Source organism: Homo sapiens, chromosome 6, assembly GCF_000001405.40.
Source record: "Homo sapiens chromosome 6, GRCh38.p14 Primary Assembly".
Classification (NCBI taxonomy): domain Eukaryota; kingdom Metazoa; phylum Chordata; class Mammalia; order Primates; family Hominidae; genus Homo; species Homo sapiens.
The window spans coordinates 85,270,482-85,291,336 of record NC_000006.12 but is presented as its reverse complement, the minus strand read 5'-3'; the positions used below and the strand labels follow the sequence as shown (position 1 = coordinate 85,291,336).

General features: G+C 39.6%; 3 pseudogenes, besides 1 other annotated feature; all 3 read right to left on the bottom strand.

Annotated features, from left to right (window-relative positions):
• Positions 584 to 4,998, bottom strand: LOC100421093 (karyopherin subunit alpha 3 pseudogene; annotated as a pseudogene).
• KRT18P64 (keratin 18 pseudogene 64) lies at positions 2,265 to 3,661 on the bottom strand (annotated as a pseudogene).
• KRT18P30 (keratin 18 pseudogene 30) lies at positions 5,677 to 13,912 on the bottom strand (annotated as a pseudogene).
• Positions 7,934 to 8,169: a silencer, noted in NCBI's record as "fragment chr6:85992886-85993121 (GRCh37/hg19 assembly coordinates)". NCBI's record gives its function as "represses an EF-1alpha promoter that drives an FKBP-Casp9 reporter gene in an ReSE screen in HepG2 liver carcinoma cells {active_cell/tissue: HepG2}" and the evidence as "EXISTENCE:reporter gene assay evidence [ECO:0000049][PMID:32094911]".

Sequence of the window (20,855 nt, the reverse complement as noted above, 5' to 3'; positions counted from 1 at the left end):
CCATCTTGACCTCATTTGGGCATTTTCTGTGATTTCAAATGAAATCTTCACATTTTATTTCCCTATTTATATTTAATGCAGCAGCAGATCCCACGAGCCAAGCTTGATGGATCAAAACTTTGTATATATACACACATGTATACACATATACATACATGTATATATCATACAGGCCCCAGTGTATGATGTTCCCCACCCTGTGTCCAAGTGTTCTCATTGTTCAATCCCCACCTATGAGGGAGAACACGCAGTGTTTGGTTTTCTGTCTTTGTGATAGTTTGCTGAGAATTATGGTTTCCAGCTTCATGAACTCATCCTTTTTTATGGCTGCATAGTATTCCATGGTGTGTGTGTGTGTGTGTGTGTATATATATATATGTATATGTGTGTATATATATAGATGCATATATGTATATATATGTGTATACATGTGTGTATATATATCTCAGTGCTGCATTGTACCTAACTTCCATGACGTCTTTCTAAAACTAGAACTCTTCTGTTGGTACATTGGCAGATGAATTGAAACCAAATGTTCCGCCTTGAATTGCCTCTGGAACAAGGCTAGGGTCTTCATCAATTATCATCTGAACAGACGAACTGATCAATGATCTCATAGGCCAATTTGTAGATGTCTTCATTTTCATGATTTTGAAGTTGTTTAATTTTCTCCAGCCCTCCATCTTCTTCTATAAGATTGCCTGGCTGGGGCACGGCGGCTCAAGCCTGTAATCCTAGCACTTTGGGAGGCCGAGCCAGGCGGATCACGAGGTCAGGAGATCGAGACCATCCTGGCCAATGTGGTGAAACCCCGTCTCTTCTAAAAATACAAAAATTAGCTGGGCATGGTGGCATGTGCCTGTAATCCCAGCTACTTAGGAGGCTGAGACAGGAGAATTGCTTGAACCAGGGAGTCAGAGATTGCAGTGAGCCAAGATCGCATAATGGCACTCCAGCTTGGAGACAGAGTGAGATTCCGTCTGAAAAAAAAAAAAAAAAAAGATTGTCCATGGTTTATGCCTTATCTTTGGCCATTTTTAGTATATTACTTAGTCCATTGAGTACTGCCTGCACAACTTGTGCATCTTTTTTTTTTTTTGCCTCTGCATTTTTTTTTAAAATTATACTTTAAGTTCTAGGGTACAAGTGCACAATGTGCAGGTTTGATACATAGGTATACATGTGCCATGTTGGTTTGCTGCACCCATCAACTTGTCATTTACATTAGGTATTTCTCCTAATGCTATCCTTCCCCCAGCCACCGACCCCTCAACAGGCCCCGGTGTATGATGTTCCCCACCCTGTGTCCAAGTGTTCTCGTTGTTCAATTCCCACCTATGAGTGAGAACATGTGGTGTTTGGTTTTCTGTCTTTGTGATAGTTTGCTGAGAATTATGGTTTCCACCTTCATGAACTCATCCTTTTTTATGGCTGCATAGTATTCCATGGTGTATATGTGCCACATTTTCTTAATCCAGTCTATCATTGATGGACATTTGGGTTGGTTCCAAGTCTTTGCTATTGTGAATAGTGCTGCAATAAACACACATGTGCATGTGTCTTTATAGTAGCATGATTTATAATACTTTGGGTATATACCCAGTAATGGGATTGCTGGGTCAAATGGTATTTCTAGTTCTAGATCCTTGAGGAATCACCACACTGTTTTCCACAATGGTTGAACTAATTTACAGTCCCACCAACAGTGTAAAAGTGTTCCTATTTCTCCACATCCTCTCCAGCACCTGTTGTTTCCTGACTTTTTAATGATCGCCATTCTAATTGGTGTGAGATGGTATCTCATTGTGGTTCTGATTTGCATTTCTCTGATGACCAGTGATCATGATCATTTTTTCATGTGTCTTTTGGCTGCATAAATGTCTTCTTTTGAGGAGTGTCTGTTCATATCCTTTGCCCACTTTTTGATGGGGTTGTTTGTTTTTTTCTTGTAAATTTGTTTGAGTTCTTTGCAGATTCTGGAATGTTAGCCCTTTGTCAGATAGGTAGATGGCAAAAATTTTCCCCCATTCTGTAGGTTGCCTGTTCACTCTGATGATAGTTTCTTTTGCTGTGCAGGAGCTCTTTAGTTTAATTAGATCCCATTTGTCAATTTTGGCTTTTGTTGCCATAGCTTTTGGTATTTTAGTCATGAAGTCCTTGCCCATGCCTATGTCCTGAGCCTAAGTTTTCTTCTAGGGTTTTTATGGTTTTAGGTCTAACATTTAAGTCTTTAATCCATCTTGAATTAATTTTTGTATAAGGTGTGACCTCTGAACTTTTTATTGGCCTTCTGTTCCCCAAAGGGTACCCTGCTTCTGCTGGCTTAATGTCTCAGAACTTTGGTGTCATTGCTCGTTTTCAGACACCACTTTGCCATCCACTATCTGGCAGGTGGTGGTCTTTTGGATGGTTTGCATGGAGTTACTGCTGTCCAGGGCATCACCAAGATTGAAGTCCTCACCATCTTCCAGCAGGCGGTGGTAGGTGGTGATCTCAGCCTCCAGCTTGACCTTGATGTTCTGCAGGGCCTCATACTCCTGGGCCTGGCCCTGTCCTTCTGCCTGGGTCTGTGCCAGCTCTGACTCCAGGTGCGGCCGGATCCTGTTGAGCTGCTCCATCTGCAGGGTGTAGCGGGCCTCCATCTCCCTCAGGCTGTTCTCCAAGATGGCCTTCAGATTTCTCATGGAGTCCAGTCAATCTCCAAGGACTGTACTGTATGTCTCAGCTCCATAAGCATATCTCAGCAGCTCCAACCTCGGCAAGCTGCGTGGTGACCACTGTGGTGCTCTTCTGAATCTGCTGAGACCAGTACTTGTCCAGCTCCTCTCGGTTCTTCCGAGCCAGCTTGCCATATTGGGCCCAGTTTTCTGCCATGATCTTGGCGAGGTCCTGAGATTTGGGGGCATCTACCTCCACAGTCAACCCAGAGCTGGCAATCTGGGCTTGTACGCCTTTTACTTCCTCTTCATGGTTCTTCTTCATGAAGAGCAGCTCCTCCTTGAGGCCTCAATCTCTATCTCCAGCTGCAGCTGAGTGACATTGGTGTAATCAATGACCTTGCGGAGCTCACGGATGTCGCTCTCCACAGACTGGCACATGGCCAGCTCTGTCTCATACTTGACTCTCAAGTCATCAGCAGCAAGACGGGCATTGTCGATCTGTAGAACGATGTGGGCATTGTCCACAGTATTTGTGAAGATGAGCCCTCAGATCTTCCTCAATGGTCTTGAAGTAATGGCTCCAGTCTCTGACCTGGGGTCTCTCTTCTCCAGGTGCTCCCAGATATTGCTCTCCGGCTACCAATTCTCGGTCTCCAGGTTCCTCACTCTGTCCAGGTAGGAGGCCAGGAGGTCGTTCAGGCTTTGCATGGTCTCCTTCTCATTCTGGATGCCTCCCATTCCTGCCAGACCCCCGGCCATCCCTGTGGACAGGCCTCTGGACCCCATGCCACCCTGTAAGCTGGTGGAGTGGGACAGGGAGATCTGGGAACCAGAGCCCCCAGCACCTGCATAGATGCTGGCCACGCGCTGACTGTCCAGGCGCCCCAGGGACTGGTAGTTGGTGGAGAAGGTGGAGCAGGTGGAGAAGGTGGAGCAAGTGTTGAAGCTCATGCTGTCTGGGGAGGAGAGTGAGAGGACAGGACTCAGGCTTTGCGGACGACCACTTGTGCATCTTTTACAGTCAGCAAGTTGCAAAAAGGTGGGATAACATTCTGCTGGATAAGGTAAGCCACTTGATCTTTCCTTCCACTAACTTTTAAGTTACTTATGGCCCAAGCAGCTTCTTTCTGAGTGCCAAAATCCCCTTATCCAAAAGATGTATTGTCACTGGTACAAGATTGGCATCAATTACTGCCTGTACCTGCTGCTGACTTCCTGCAGTGATATTAGAGAGGAACCACACTGCTTCTTTATTGATTTTCTCTTTGGGATGTGTCAGGAGTGCTGGGAAGTGTAAAAGGGCATCACAGTTCAACACTACTTGTGTTTGCTCATCAGTTCCCATAATAATGTTGCCCACAGCTCGAAGTGCAGCAGTCTGAACTTTAACTTCGTGGTGGCTGAGGAAGCCAAATGAGGAAATATTCCAGAGTCTGTTACCATCTGTATTTGATAATTGCCAGCATCAGTAAGGTAAGAGAGGATCAAGACTGTATCTACCAATATATTTACGTCTATGTGATGAATTAAAACACAAAGGGCTGGAAGAATCTCCTGAATGGTTTCCATTGGTGGTGGTGGGTCTTTGTGGCGACATAAGTTGACCATAACCCAAGTAACATTTCTTAAGAATGTTGCATGTTCTCACTCATAGGTGGGAATTGAACAATGAGAACACTTGGACACAGGAAGGGGAACATCACACACTGGGGCCTGTCGTGGGGTGGGGGTGGGGGGAGGGATAGCATTAGGAGATATACCTAATGTAAATGATGAGTTAATGGGTGCAGCACACCAACATGGCACATGTATACATATGTAACAAACCTGCATGTTGTGCACATGTAGCCTAGAACTTAAAGTATATATATAAAAGAATGTTATAGGAATAGTTGGACTTATGAAGGAAAGTAAAGGTTTCACAACTCCCAGACTTATGACATAATCTCTACACTGGGGCCCATCACCTATGCTATTTCCCAATGCCCACACTGCTTGCTCACAGACATTCTGATGGGGTGAATGGAGAAGCCTCAGGAAAAGTGGCACAGCATTGGACTGGACTGAGCTACTGCTTGAGTTTGTTCAGAAGTTCCAAATGCAATATTTGTCAAAGCCCATGCAGCTTCAAACTGTAAACAAGGATTGTCATCTCTTTCAAGACAATGGACTAAAATGGCCAATATTCCAGATTTTATTAAGTCATCAATTGGTGGATTTCGATCACTGGATAAAAGCTTCCTGGCAGCTTGAACTGCACTTAATTAAATTCGTTGATTATCACTTGAAACATTTTGAACAATAGCTTCTAGAGAGTTACTTTGCACTCTATAATCACCATCAATATCAGACTCTTCACAGATATCTTCATGTGGTACATTCCTTCTCTTTAAGAGATGTTCATCTCTTTTATTCTTCCTTAATTTAACTCCAAGCTCCGCGGGATCCGCACCAACTACCGTGCCGCACTGACATTCCCAGGAACCTGGCGCCGCCTGAGCTGCTGTGTCTGCTGTGTCCGCTGTGTCCGCTCCACCACCGCTTCCTTCTTCCACCGCTGCTTCCTTCTTCCTCCGCCGCATCCTTCTTCCTCCGCCGCATCCTTCTTCCTCCTCCCCCGCTTCCTTCTTCCTCTGTCGCGGCCTTCTCCTCTCCCCGCCCCACCCCCAAACCTCAACAGCTGAGTTGGGGAGGCAGCGTCGATCTTGCCACATTTTCTTTATCCAGTCTATCATCGATGGGCATTTGTGTGGTTCCAAGTCTTTGCTATTGTGAATAGTGCTGCAATAAACATACGTGTGCATGTGTCTTTATAGTAGAATGATTTATAATCCTTTGGGTATATACCCAGTAATGGGATTGCTGGGTCAAATGGTATTTCTGGTTCTAGATCCTTAAGGAATTGCCACACTGTCTTCCACAATGGCTGAATTAATTTACACTCCCACCAACAGTGTAAAAGCATTCCTATTTCTCCACATCCTCTCCAGCATCTGTTGTTTCCTGACTTTTTAATGATCGCCATTCTAACTGGCATGAGATGGTATCTCATTGTGATTTTGATTTGCATTTCTCTAATGACAAGTGATGATTAGCTTTTTTTCATATGTTTATTGGCCACATAAATGCCTTCTTTTCAGAAGCGTCTGTTCATATCCTTCACCCACTTGATTCTATAGTTTTTAATCTCCCTCCGGTGTCCAGTACGGCTTGCCTTCAGTTTGAGACGCAGAAGTCAGCACCTGAGGAGGCCTCTGGGCTTGCAGTGCTGGGTTTGCACTCAGATCATCCGGGCCTGATGACTGTATTCCCCTCAGGCTCGCTACAGACTGATGTGTACATCACAGGTGAATTGGTTGGTTTTCAGTGAGAAATATGCCTGGGAGAGGCTGGACACTTGAAAGTTGGCAAGTGCTTTCACTCCCTTAAAGTTGCTTGGCAGGTATGGAAGCACATACTCGAGATACAGAATCATAAAGAATTTTGTTTTGTTTGGAGGGTTTTTCTTCAGTCCTCAGACTTCCTTTTTTTTTAAAATTTAAATATTTCAGTTATTTTCCTCCTTGACAGAACTGAACAAACCTCGACAAATTCTTAACATTTAATTAAAGAGTTAGTTCACATATGTTTTCTTCAGGTATGCTGATGCCACTAACAAGTTTAAAGATTTTGTTAACGTTTCATCAAGACTAAATAATTTTTTCCAGTGCTCTTCCTTTGGTTTTTGGGGTGGAGATACAAGCCTTCTGCAGATTGCTGAGGTCGTTTGCCATGTGTTGCTTTCAACCCGTTTAACTTTTGGAATTCAGGGTTTTCTATCTCCCCATGTATTAACCATAGCCTGTCTTTGCAATAGTAATTACAGTGAATGATAGTATATTTTGTTTTGAAAATTTCACATCACAACCAGCAACAATAAGATACAAAAAACAGGCCAGAAAATATCTGCCTTAGAATAATTGTAAAATGATTTAAAAACTTTTTATTCAGGAACTCAAATGGGATATTGAAACCTGTTAAAAGATATAATGGAAACAATATTGCACTTATAATGGCAAAATATGCAAAGTGTCAAAACACAGTTAAGAAAAACTATAAAACATCCAGAAAAACACAAAAGTGGACTTCATCAAATGGGAATGCATATCAAGCTTTTGGATAGAAAGACTAAACATCACAAAGTTGTCAATTATAAGTTAATCTATAAATGTAATATTATTCCAATAAAAGTATCATAAGGTTGTGTAAAAAGGAACAAAGAAGGAAGAATATACAGGAAAACTCTGAAAAAGAAGAACAATGAGAAGGATAAATTCTTTCAGATATTATTTAAAACTTAGTTAAAATATACAAAACATATTATAAAGTTGCCATAATTAAAGTAGTGTAGTGTTTGCTCACAGAGAATGAGACAGAATAAAGCTCACTGCAAATGGGTATGGAGAATATGATACAAGCAGCATCTGAGTTCAGTAGGGGAAAAGATAGAATTTTGTTTATTTTGTTAATTTGAAATAATTTCAAACTTACCAAAAAAAAACTTGCAAGAGTAGTATAAAGAACCCTCAAATAATCTTTGGCAACATTTGCCAATTTTAAACATTTTGTCATATTTATTTTATCTCGCTGTCTCTTTCTTTACACACACACACACACACACACACACCCCCACACATATTTTATGTATTTTTGGAATCATTTGAGAATAGTTGTATACATCATGCTCCTTTACCTGCTAATATGTCAGTGTATATTTCCTAAGAGCAAGAATATTCTCATATATATTCACAGTAGAGTGAATTATCAGTTTTGGGACATTCAATATCAACAAAGCACTTTAATATACAACCCATATTCCAGTTCTGCCAATTCTCCCAATAATGTCCTTTACAGCATTTCCCCCCGCTCCCGCAAGTACAATATGGAAACTGGAACCATATATTGCTTTCAGTTGTCATATCTCTTTAGTTGCCTTTCTTTGTCTTTTTCCATTGCTGTATTGCTATATTTTGGAAAATACAGGCCAGATGGCACATCCAGACGGTGGAATGTTATTCAACACTAAAAAATGAGCTATCAAGCTGTGAAAAGACATGGGGGAAACTGAAATGCATATTACTAAGTGAAAGAAGCCAATTTGAATAGGGTACATACTGTATGATTCCAAGTATATGACATTCTAGAAAATCAAAACTATGGAGACAATAAAAAGATCAGTTGTTGCCATGGATTGGGATGGGGGAGGGATAAATAGAGCACAAAGGATTTTTAGAGCAGTGGTACTACTTTGAATGATACTGCAATGATGAATACATGTCATTGTTCATTTGCTCAAGCTTATGGGATATAAAACACTGATAAGATTTGGCTCTGTGTCCACACCCAAATCTCATGTTGACTTGTAATTCCCCACGTGTCAGGGGAGGGACCTAGTGGGAAGTGATTGGATCATGGTGGGGCAGACTTCCCCCATGCTGTTCTGGTGATAGTGATAAAGTTCTCTTAAGATCTCATGGTTTCAAAGTGTGGCACATCCCCCCTCACTCTCTCTCTTTCTCTCCTGCTCCACCTTTGTAAATATGTATGTGCTTCCCTTTTGCCTTCCGCCATGATTGTAAGTTTTCTGAGGCCTCCCAGTCATGGTTCCTGTTAAGCCTGCAGAACTATGAGTGAATTAAACCTCTTTTCTTTACAAATTACCTAGTCTTAGGTAGCTATTTATAGCAGTGTAAGAATGGACTAATGCAAATGCCAAGAGTGAACTCTAATCTAAAAATATGGACTTTGGGTGGTAATGATGTGTCAATGTTGGTTCATCTATTCTAACCAATGTACCACTCTGAGGGAAGAGGGTCTGTTGATAATAGGGGAGGCTAGGCGTGTGTTGGGGCACAGGGTATAAAGAAAATCTCTATACCTCCCTCTCAATTTTGCTGTGAACATAAAATAGCTCTTAAAAATAAAGTTTTTTTAATATAAAAAATCCATGACAGTAATTTTAGAGATTGACCCTCAAGTTTTGGTTTCTATGATGTTTCCTCATGATTAGATTTAGTTTTTACTTTATTTTGGTGGGAGATGAAATCCAAAATAGACAAGTGTTAGGATAACAGGGTAGCCATGTGGAAAAAGTACACATCAGGATAAATTCTAAATATATTTGAGATTTACCATAAAAATGAAGCTATACAATTATCAGATAAAAAACATGGATGAATTTCTCTATAACTTGGGAATGAGAAAAAAAATTTTATGATTCAAAATACATAAGCAATATGAGTTGATAAACATGGAACAAAAAATTGTTTTTGTGCCCCTGTCCCCCAAATAAAGTAAAACAGCAAGCTGGCAAAATATTTGCAACTTCTAGCACAGATAAAGGATTAATATTCTATTATTTCAATGGCTTCTAAATACAAAAAAAGACCAACAATTCTACAGAAAAATAAATGACATATTGATAACTCACAGCAGTTTAAATAGCCTTTAGAAATGTGAAAAGATAGGTAGTCTTATTTATAATAAAAGAAATGTAAATTAAAACTATACTAAGATATAACTTCTCAGCTATCACATTGGCAATAATTCAAAAATTTTACTTTAAATTCTGTCAGTTTGTGGAGAAATAAGTACTCAGGCATTTTGAGTAGGAATGCAAACTATTGCAGACTTTTGACAATAGCTAGCAAAATTATGTATGTACTTATTTTTTGGCCAAGCAATTTCACCTCTAGAAATCTATCCTGAAGACAAAAATAAGCTCCCAAGTTAGGCACAAAACAATTTATTAATGTAATGTTTGTAACCAAAAGGTTAGAAACAACCTGTGTCCATAACAGAGGACTGGTTGAATAAATTTTGGTACAGTCACTCAGTGGAGTACTATGTAGTTATACAAATAAAAGAGGAGTGCTATACAACTATAAAAAGGTAAAGTAAGTGAATATGTTTATATACTTTCATGATCACTAGGATATATTGTTAATATATTTTTAAGTGAAAGAAGCAAAATTAGAAAAGTGATCAAAGAAAGGAATATATATATATAAATATAAATTCTGATATTGAATAGGATACTCAAAAATGAAAAAAGTCACTTAAATTATGTTTGAATCTGTAGATTTGACTTTGAAACTATGTACATATTTTATATAGTTATGAAATGAAGTAAAATTTAAAAATAAATCTATAAAATAGCAAATAAAAAGTAAAACCAATGAATCCAATTATCAAGTTGATGATATCACCACATGAAGGTCTATTCCAAGAGACTTTAAAACCCAATACTTTACAACATATCCCTAGTGGTATATACACTTAAAGACTATAAAGGTCTATACAAAATCTAGGCTATATATTGTTATCGTGTTCTTAATAATAGTATTGTTATTCTGAAACTCTTATGCACGTATATTATAGAACAAAGAGAATAATTATGTAAATGTTTATGGTTAACTAGTATTTTTTAGCATAAGAGAAAAGAGATATAAAATCAAAGAAGTTAAGTAAAAACCCTATTATTATAGATTTAAATAGAAAATATCAGTATTTAGCCTAGAAAACATTGTGTGACCGCCCACCTTTATTTAGAAAAAAAAAATTAGCCAAGTAGGGTGGTGCTGCTGTGGAGGCTGAGGCAGGAGGATCACTTGAGCCTGAGATGTTGAGGCTGCAGCAAGCCATGATAGCACCACTGCACTCCAACTTGGGTGACAGGGTGAGACCCTATCTCAAAAAAAAAAAAAAAAGGAAAAAGAAAAAATATCAGTAAAAATGTATGGTATATGTTTTTTAAAAAACATTTTCTAGGGGCTGGGCACAGTGGCTCATGACTGTAATCCTAGCACTTTGGGAAGCTGAGGCAGGAGGACTGCTTGAGCCCAGTGGGGTTCAAGGCCAGCCTGGGAAAACTGGAGAAATCTCACCTCTACAAAAAAAAAAAAAAAATAGTGGGATGTGGTGGTATGTATCTGTAGCTCTAGCTACTTGGGAGGCTGAGGCAGAAGGATTTCTTGAGGCCAGGAGATGGAGGCTGCAGTGAGCCTCATTCATGCCACTGCATCCCAGCTTGGGTGACACAGCAAGACTTTATCTCAAAAAGCATATTTTCTATATTTGTCTATCGAGAATCTCAAGAAAAAATGACCAATCCAGTAGCACGGAGCACCCTAGCCCCCACATTGTGGGTTCTGAATACCATTTCCCAGTGAAAAGAACTAGGTTTCTTTAAAGAACTATCTAACTCCAGGTCTGTAATAGAAAATGTACAAGATGAGCCTGAAACATATTATAGCATAAAGCAGGGATTAATTAAAGAATATGGGATCCTGAGAAAAGAACTCAAGAACCAACTTGAAGAGATTGTCATTGGTTAAAAATGGGACAATTTGAGCACCAATAAACAGTAAACTAATAACTGAAATAAATCAAATTATACAAAATGCTTTAAAATTCACGAGTTCATAATGATACTTAGAAATAAAAACAAAAAATCCTTTTGAGGATGCTAGGGAACTAACTCATTATTTTGAAAAGTGATAAAGGGAAATAATTGAGAATTTTATCGTCTTTTCTTTACAAGGCATACCTCAGGATAATCCAATAGCTGCTGATGAAACATATCTCTTTAAATAAGTATTCATAACAGACAAAGAAAGGATAGATGGAGAATATCACCATTTTGCAACCATTAATGAGACAATCCAGGATGATCTGCAATGGCTACTAACATCACAAAAAGAGAGACAACTAGATATAAAGTGCCACCTGATCCCTATGTTTAACCACTCATGAAGTATCTTGTCAGAAAGTCAGACCTGAATGTAATCAAGCCTCTATACATAACAAATAGTTTTCAGGAAAAAACAGGGGAGGAGGGACATGTTAAATGACACCATGAGGATACAGCCAGCAAAATGCAGTGTGTGAACAATTATTCAGGAAAAAAGCCTGGTTTCTTCAATGACAAATTGTATGTGTGGGGGGTGGGTGGGTGGAGACAGGGGAAGAAAGAACACTATAGATTGAGATATGAGATATGTCAATTGCAATACATGGATCTTGATTTGAACAAACAATGAAAACTATTATGAGACAATCAGGGAAGTCTGATTACTGACTGGATATTTGTTGGTGTTACAGAATTATTTTTCAGTTTTTATATATGTTAATGGCCATATTAAAAAAGAGCCCTTATCCTTCAAAGATACAGATGGAAATATTTACAGATTGAAATATTTACAGATAAGATTATGTGATGTCTGAGATTTGCCTTAAGGAATCCAGTATTGGCAGAGGGGAGCGTGCAAGGTTAGAGATGAAATGTGTTTGGCCATTATTTGATAATTGTTGAAGCTAGGTAATAAATGAAAAGTTCATTGTATTAGTCTCCCTATTTTTGCTCATGTTTGGCATTTTCTATTAAAAAAGGGGAATACTGAGAGATAAGATTTTCTTTCACTCTAGTTAAACCATGGAATAAACTGACCTTTTAAAAAATTATTAAATGGGAAGCTTAACTAATATTTTGGAATTTTCAAAGTACAATGAAGAGGGCAGGTGTATCCCTAGAAACTACAGCATAGGTCTTCTTGGAGGTGTCACATGTTCTTGATGACTTCTAGTTCATTTTTGCTAAAATGTGTTCCCTCTAGGACACTGAGAGGAGTGCTTGTGATTTCAGATCTGAGGTCAGCTCTTGCAACTGTTTCCCAGAGGGCTGCACCAACAGAGTGTGCAGAGTTGAGGGGTTCTGCTGTGCGTTGTCTGTTAACTCAGAGTGTGAAGGGTGTGCAGCTCTCTCTCATTCCTTTCCAGAAGTATTTATGACTCCCTAGGTGCAGAATGGGGGTCAAGTGGATCTCTTATCAGGAGCCATGCTGAGACCTCCATCTCATTTTGCTCAGTGAGACTGTCAACTGGAATTGTTTTCCTGACGAGAAAAGTGTATTTCCTTTTACTATTGCTAGAGCCAGTTGTTCCCACCAATGGTATTTTAATTGCATACCAAGCAACTGTCTACATATTTTGTTGCCCAACATGTCTAAATTTGTCACAAAATGATTCCAATGTATTTTCTTTTAGAGCAACGGAATAGAGTATTTTGGAAGAGGATGTGTTGTACAGATAAATATCAGGGTGAGGTCCCTAACTGTCTGGAACTGATACAAAGAGTAACTTATTTTGACATCAAAAATTGAATGTCTTGAAATGGTACAGTCTCTTCTTTCACACATTTGGAGGCCATATTAAGACTACAGGATGTATAAATCATTGCTATGGTACAGTTGAGAAAATTTGTCAACTTTAGACTATTTCTGTTTTGATGATATAGTCTAGAAATAAAACTGGGTATGTTTGTCTTACCCCATTTTATTACCTATTCCCATGGGTATCTGAGGGCATATTCCCACAAATAGAGGTTCTCAAAATGTCCTCTGGACCTGACTTAACTTGAGAAATAAGGCTCAAAGCTATTGGATTATCATTGGGGTTGGGGCCAGGGAGCTAGTTCAGAACCAGCATCCAGATCTTTTCCATTCTTGCCCTGGTTAAATATGTTGATGTTGGCCTGTGCTTGCCAGTTGCTCTTTCACACATTCAGAGCTTTTTAACCCTCAGCAAATATGTCCAGAAGGTGCAATTAATGTCAAATGCAGGACAATGGCCTGACCCAAGTGTGTGAGTGGTGATGTGGCAACACCTAGTGTCTTGATTTGGGGTCAGAGTTGAGCCCTGATGAAGTGTCTGGAATTCCATTCTGAGCCCATGTAATTTCTGGATTTTGTGTCTTAAATGCATCATTTTATCTTGGAGAAGGAATATGTAGAAATAAATCTTCATTTATTTTTAAACATTGTGTTATCGAGATGGGACAAACATATCATCAAAATGATTCAAAAATTTGATTAAAAAACTAAAAACAACAATTTTGTAGTCAAAAGTAATTAAATTGATAGAAATTAGCACATTCATTTATTCATGTACAGAGTGTAGGCTCTGACACTTTTCAACATTGGGCCAATTGTAGGGAAACAGTGAGGAAGACAGTTTCTCTCTTCAAAGAGTTATCACCATCGGAAACCTGACAGTGATACAGCCGCACCTTTGGTGTTCATGGTTTTGACTCGTCTCGTGTTATCCTCAAGGCCTGACACGAAGCCATTTAGAATTTTGCAGAGGGACAGAGCATGGTGGGTGGAGGTGGGGGGGCGGTCACAGAAGTGACTATGCTCTGCGGACTCCTCCTCCATCCCTATACATACACACCAACCCTGTTAGAGCTCAGTTTTGTTATTATCTAATCCAGTACAAATTTTATAGTAGACAATCTATTATATTCAGGGCTTTGCTGGTATATGAAGATTTCAGGAATGCAAAGCTGGGAGTAGAACAGGTAAGGGCACTGCAGCAGCTGGCAGGAAGATCAGTGATCCAGCCTGGGTAGGTCAGAGAAGGCCCTGTGGAAGACAAAATGCTCATGTTGAGTCCTGGAGACCTGGCAGGAGTGGGCCAGGGAAATACACAGTAGGCAGTCACTGAATATCTGGAATGAATTTTGAAATCCATGCAGAGGAAACAGCATATTGAGAGAACCAGAGGGTGAACAGCACGGCAAATTTTGGAAGAGAGTAAGTAGTTCAGCCATTCAACATTTGACAAATATTTATTGAGCATCTAGTATATGCTAGACTCTTCTGTAGGGATTGGAGATATAATGGTGAACAAGATAGTAAAGCTCCTGTTTTTAGAGAGCTTGGGGAGAACTGTACTAAACTAAAAATAAGTAAACAAGATAATTTCAGACAGATAGAATTATAAGTGGATATGCCAGAGTGATTAGGAATAAAGCTAATAATTTAATGGCTATTAAATATTATTAAAAGCCATGACTTTTACATTAAAAATGATTATTTATTTGGAGGATTGAATGTCTAATTATATTTTAGAGGAACTTTTATGTTATGGCAGAAGAGTCCTTTTGGCTGTCCCTCAAATTGCCAAAAGTAAGATTGATCTTGCCCATGGGAATGAGTGGGGGCATAGGCAGGTGATAAGAGGAAAGAAGGTGTCAAGGAAAGGAAGAAGAGGGAGAGAGTGGTAGAAAGAGTGAGTAAAAAGATCACAGTGCATATTGTGGAGTAGATTATTAATAATAACTGCTGGTGGTTTTTTTTGAGTGCTCATGATTGGCCAGGCACTGTGCTAAGTGAATTAGATCTATTAATTCACTTTATTTTCAGCACAACCCTGTGAGGTAGTTACTATTATCATCTTCATTTTATGGGTAAGAAAACTGAGATGGACTATGCAAAAAATTGAAATTGGACCCCTTCATTACACCATATACAAAAATCAACTCAAGATGGATTAAAAACTTAAATGTAAAATATAGAACTATAAAAACCCTGGAAGACAGCCTAGGCAACACCATTTTGGACACAGGACCTGGCAAAGATTTCATGACAAGGACTCCAGAAACAATTGCAACAAAAACAAAAATGGACCAGTGGGACCTAACTAAAGAGCTTCTACCCAGCGAAAGAAACTATCAACAGAGTAAACAGACAACATACAGAATGGGAGAAAATATTTGCAAACTATGCATCTGACAAAGATCTAATATCCAGAATCTATAAGAAATAAACAAATTTACAAACAAAACACAATCCCATTAAAAAGAGGGCAAAGGACATGATCAGTTCTCAAAAGACACACACGTGGCCAACAAACATATGAAAAAATGCTCAACATTACTAATCAGAGAAATGCAAATCGAAACCACAATGAGATACCATCTCACAACAGTCAGAATGGCTACTATTAAAAAGTAAAAAAATGACAGATATTGGCGAGGTTACAGAGAAAAGAGAATGCTTATATACTGCTGGCGGGAATGTAAATTAGTTCAACCATCATGCAAAGCAGTTTGAGGGTTTCTCAAAGAACTCAAAGCACAATTACTATTTGACTCATCAATTTCATTATTGGCTATATACCCAAAGGGATATAAATCATTTTATCATAAAAACATATGAACACATATGTTTATCACAGTACTATTCACAATAGCAAAGACATAGAGTCAACCTAAATACCCATCAGTGGTAGAATGGACAAAAATATTGTGGTACATATATACCATGGAATACTATGCAGCCATAAACAAAGAACAAGATCATGTCCTTTGCAGCAACATGATGGAGCCGTTATCCTAAGTGAAATAATGCAGGAAGAGAAAACCAAATACCACATATTCTCACTTATAAGTGGCAGTTAATCATTGTGTACATATGGACACAAAGAGCAAAGAACAGACACCACGGCCTACATGAGGGTGGAGGTTGGGAGGAGGGCGAAGACTGAAAAACTACCTATTGGGTACCATACTTATTACGTGGGTGATGAAACAATCTGTACCTGAGACCTCCATGACATGCAATTTAGGTATACTGTAAACCTGCACATGTACCCCTGAATCTAAAAAAAAAAAAAAGAAAACTGAGTCAGAGACAGGTTTGATGAATTGTCCAGAGGCATAAAGCCAAAGGCGAGACTCAAAACCAGAGTTTAGACTCTGTAGTCTAAACTCCTCATCATGAATCTCATGGCTGCCCTCAATGGCTTTGGTATGCCTCAGTGGCTCCTCTGTCCTGTGTTCGTTTACTGTGCCCGCAGAACTGGGAGACTCATTTTTGGAGTTCCAGTGTCAGCTCAAGCTTGTGATTTTACAAAAGCAAGTTAAGCCTCCCTGGTGTCAAAGCTTTGGACTCAACCTTCTGTTGCCTTCTAGGGATGTCACCCAGGTAGACTTTGAGGATCTTGAGACAAAGTGGAATTCAATACAGGATATTTTCAGAATCTCTGTTTTGCCCAAGAGATAAAGCTCCCACCAGGCTGCAGATGGTCCCTCTGATTTATTTTTCAGTCCATCCCTGGACCTCTAGGATAGCTTATGAAAACCCTGGTGGTTTAGTATCATAGAATTGAAGCCTGGCAAGGAAATACCAGGGTTTCCTTCAGTGATGTCACATTGATAAGAATCTGGAAACAGATTTTAATGGCCTTCAGAAAAGGTGAGTTCATGGCATTATTGGGTCATCCATTCTTATATTTAACCACCCTGTGATCAGCACATTGTTTTCCTCTTGTACTTACTGTAACTCCATTGCAAGTGAAAAAACCCTTTCCCACCTTTTATGTACTTGAACTCTCCCCAGAATTTTCAGTTATCTAGGCTAAATGCCTAACATTTAAATTAGATCTAAATTCTAACACAGAGCTTATTCCAGACTCTCTATCAGAATTTTATACTGTTATCTCAAACCTAAGCAGAGTGGGGAGGATTATGTGATAGACATAAATTTTCTTTGACTGTCTTACTGAATTTACAGAATATTTCTGGAATTGCAATTTGATGTTTATAATATTAATTACTGCAAAATGATTTCTTTGCATATAAATGAGCATTGATTTGGATGATAGGAGACAACTAAAACCATAATATTATTACTGATATGATGCTACACAGAGGACAGAGCTGGGTTTGGACAACAGAGGCCTGAATCCTGGCTCCATGACTCACTGGCCAACCTTGAATCAGTCACTTAAATGTTCCACAGCTCAGGTTACTTAGCTGAGAGTGGAAGGTTTATTAGATGGCTTTTAAGTTCTTTCCAGTTTTAAAAGTCAGGGACTCCAAACCATGAGAAGCAGAAAGTAGAATGGTGGTTCCCCAGGACTGGGAAGGGGGGGTGGGAAAGGAAAGTTATCAGTGGGTGTAGAGTTTTAGTTTTGCAAGATGAAAAAGTTCTAGCAATCTGTTGAGCAACAATGTGCATATAGTTATCACTATTGCACTGTTTACTTAAAAATGGTTAAGATGGTAAATTTTATGTTATGTATTTTTACCACAATTAAAAAGTCACAGACTCCAGTGGACTTCCTTTTTTTGGCATTTCAGTGAAAATACTCTTAATACAAAGAGGTACACTGAAATTTTAAGTCATATGTATCTTGAGGTCTACATGAACTCTTACTCCCTACTCCAGAAACACACACACACACACACACACACACACACACACACACGTTTTCTGGGGAATCACTGTAGAAATGCCCCCTTTTAAGTGCATTTTAATGGCGAGGAAGTTGTCACAGTGTTCCTAACGTGAAGATTGTTTGGCTAGATTCATTTATCGTCAGGATTTTTTCCTTCTTCATGGCCTGGAAGAATTTAGAGTTTATCTCCAACAAGGGAAATATTATCCAGCAACTGTCTTCCTTAAAGCTTGTCCTCAAAGCCAAGGAGTTGGCAAAGACTCACATTTGGTGTCTGAGCAAAGAGAGCTGAAGTGATTGCTCCCTCTGTTCACAGCCTATGCCTGAAGGAGGTCCCCACATAGCTTTTCAACACTGGGTTGGATCCCCAGTGTTGACATGGTGACTCGGAGGAGAGCTGAGCTGCTTTGTGAACATCAGAGCATCAAGATCTAGCAGGGCTGGGGGGCGCTTCGAGGTGGGCCGGCTTGAATGTTGTGAACAGGAGCAGATGTTCCCAGCAACCTCCCACCCCACCCCTTTCCTTAAATAGTCCTTATTTATTTATTTGGTGCCAGTAATATTTTTCCATTGTGCATGTTGATATAGAATACGTTAGTGCTGCTGAAGCTCCAGAAAGTTTTAGAAAGAAAAATCTGAACAATCTTCTACTGAACATTTAGAAAAATCAAACCCACTGCCTGCCACAAAGAAAAAGAGGGACAAATACCCTTTGCAAAGGAGAAGTGCTCTGGGCTGCTGTGCCTATTGGGATGTTGCTATCCCCACCTCATCTCTTGTAGATTGTGGAAAGCTGTGGACTAACTTGAGGCACAAATTGACTCCACGTGTTTTCCCCCGTGGTGAACTCTTGCTTTCTGATCACTTCAGGGCAGGAGGAGAGAGGCAGTGCTTGGTGGGCATGTGGCTTTCTGCTAGTGGTGGGGGGCGGGGTGTGGGGTGGATTCTCCAGCTGAAACCAATAAAATCCACTCAGAAGAATTCTTCACAAAGTTAGATGGGAGTTTGACAGTCCCAAAATGCTCACACAATTTCTGCAGCTATGCAGTGAAAAAAAAAAACAACCCAAAACAACAACAAAAAAGTCTTAGAAAAACAGACAATGGTTCTAAATTCCTCTTCCCACCCACACTCTATGCCTGCCTCTGGGCACATCATCAGAAAAGCTCACTTCTCAGTGGTGTTAATTCATCAATCATTGGAAATACCCCTGTTCAATCATGTCTGAAGCTGGTCACAACATTTTTCTGCTTCTTGGTAGAAGTGTGGTCAGTTTCATCCCCATTGATTTTATCTGGGCAAATGGGCTCCCCTTTAAGTGTGTTGAGGTGTGAATATCAGCTCCTAGAGTTTTCTAATTTTGTATATGGCTAAGAAACCATTCAGGTTTTCTCCTCTCCTGGTTTGGGCCATCTTTTAAGTTTGTATTTTTGCACATGCTGCAACTTGTAGAAGAATGGGTGTTGAGTTGCTATCTTAAAAATGTGTTTTCCTTTCTTTTAAGGATCACAATAAATGGTGTTCTTCTCAGAAACTAGTATACAGTGTTTATAGCAGCATTATTTAACAACTTGTGTCCATCAATAGATAGATAAATAAAATGTTAGTACATACATACAATGGAATAATGATCTAGTTATAAAAAGGGGTGAAGGGCCGGGCACGGTGGCTCACGCCTGTAATCCCAGCACTTTGAGAGACCGAGGCAGGTGGATCACCTGAGGTCGGGAGTTTGAGACCAGCCTGACCAACTGGAGAAACCCCGTTTCTACTAAAATACAAAATTAGCCAGGCGTGGTGTCGCATGCCTGTAATCCCAGCTACTCGGGAGGCTGAGGTAGGCGAATCGCTTGAACCTGGGAGGCAGAGGTGGCAGTGAGCCGAGATCGCACCATTGCGCTCCAGCCTGGGCAACAAGAGCAAAACTCCGACTGAAAAAAAAAAAAAAGGAGTGAAGTAGGGATACATCTTACAATTTGGATGACTCTTGAAAACATGATGGTAACACATTAAAATATTATTAAAAAAGATATGAAATAAGCCAGACACAAAAGGTCACATACTGTGTAATTCATTTTATATGATAAATCTGGAATAGGCAAATCTATGGAGTCAGAGAGCAGATTAGTGGCTCCTGGGGGATGGGGGAAAGGGAGAATGATATGGTGTGTTTTTCTGGGGTGATGAAAAAGTTCTCAAACTAGAGAGGGGGAGTGGTTGTATAACATTACAAGTGCACTAAATACCACTGAATTGTGTACTTTAAAATGGTTAATTGTATGTTACATGACTTTAATCTAAAAACTTTTTTTTTTTAAAGAGGTATGTTGTTTGATTTTTAGAGGTGTCCTATTTTTGTTTGGGTTCGTGCCTTTCCTTCTGTTAGAAGCCAGCCCAGAGAGGCTTATTCTTCACATTCTATCTAAATGATCCGTTTCAGGCCCTTGAACTGGGTACAGTTGATACTTAGCCTATCTTCGTATATTCTCCCCCAGAAATTTATACATCCACAGCATCTCTCAATTTGCCTTTTTTTCTTAGTGACAAATATACCCTTTTCAGAATCTGTACATCTATGCTCAAGACTAACCCTGATTGCAGGTGAGAAGAACTCTGGAAAACTGATATAATCTCTGGAACTGGCAGCTCCAGATGAATAATTTGTTAGCTTTTCAAAGCTTTGGAGGTCAGAGTGCAACAAGTGGAGCTTTAAAAAACAAACAAACTGGCCGGGCGCGGTGGCTCACGCCTGTAGTCCCAGCTACTCAGGAGGCTGAGGCGGGAGAATGGCGTGAACCCGGGAGGCGGAGCTTGCAGTGAGCCGAGATCGCGCCACTGCACTCCACTCTGGGCAACAGAGTGAGACTCTGTCTCAAAAACAAAAACAAAACAAAACATAAACCAAAACAAACAAACTAAATACCTCCTTTGCTTCTGGTCTTTTATGCGATTTCCTTGGCTGATTTTTCTCTGTGGAATGTTCTAATAAAGGAAAGTATTTTCTTCCTGCCTATTTCTGTTTAATTAAAGCCTCAAAGTATTGGAAGATGCTAAAATGATCCTATTGGTAAAAGTAGATAACCCTATAAATCCAGTAGTCATTGGGCAATTGTAATTCATATTCTGGGAGTGGGA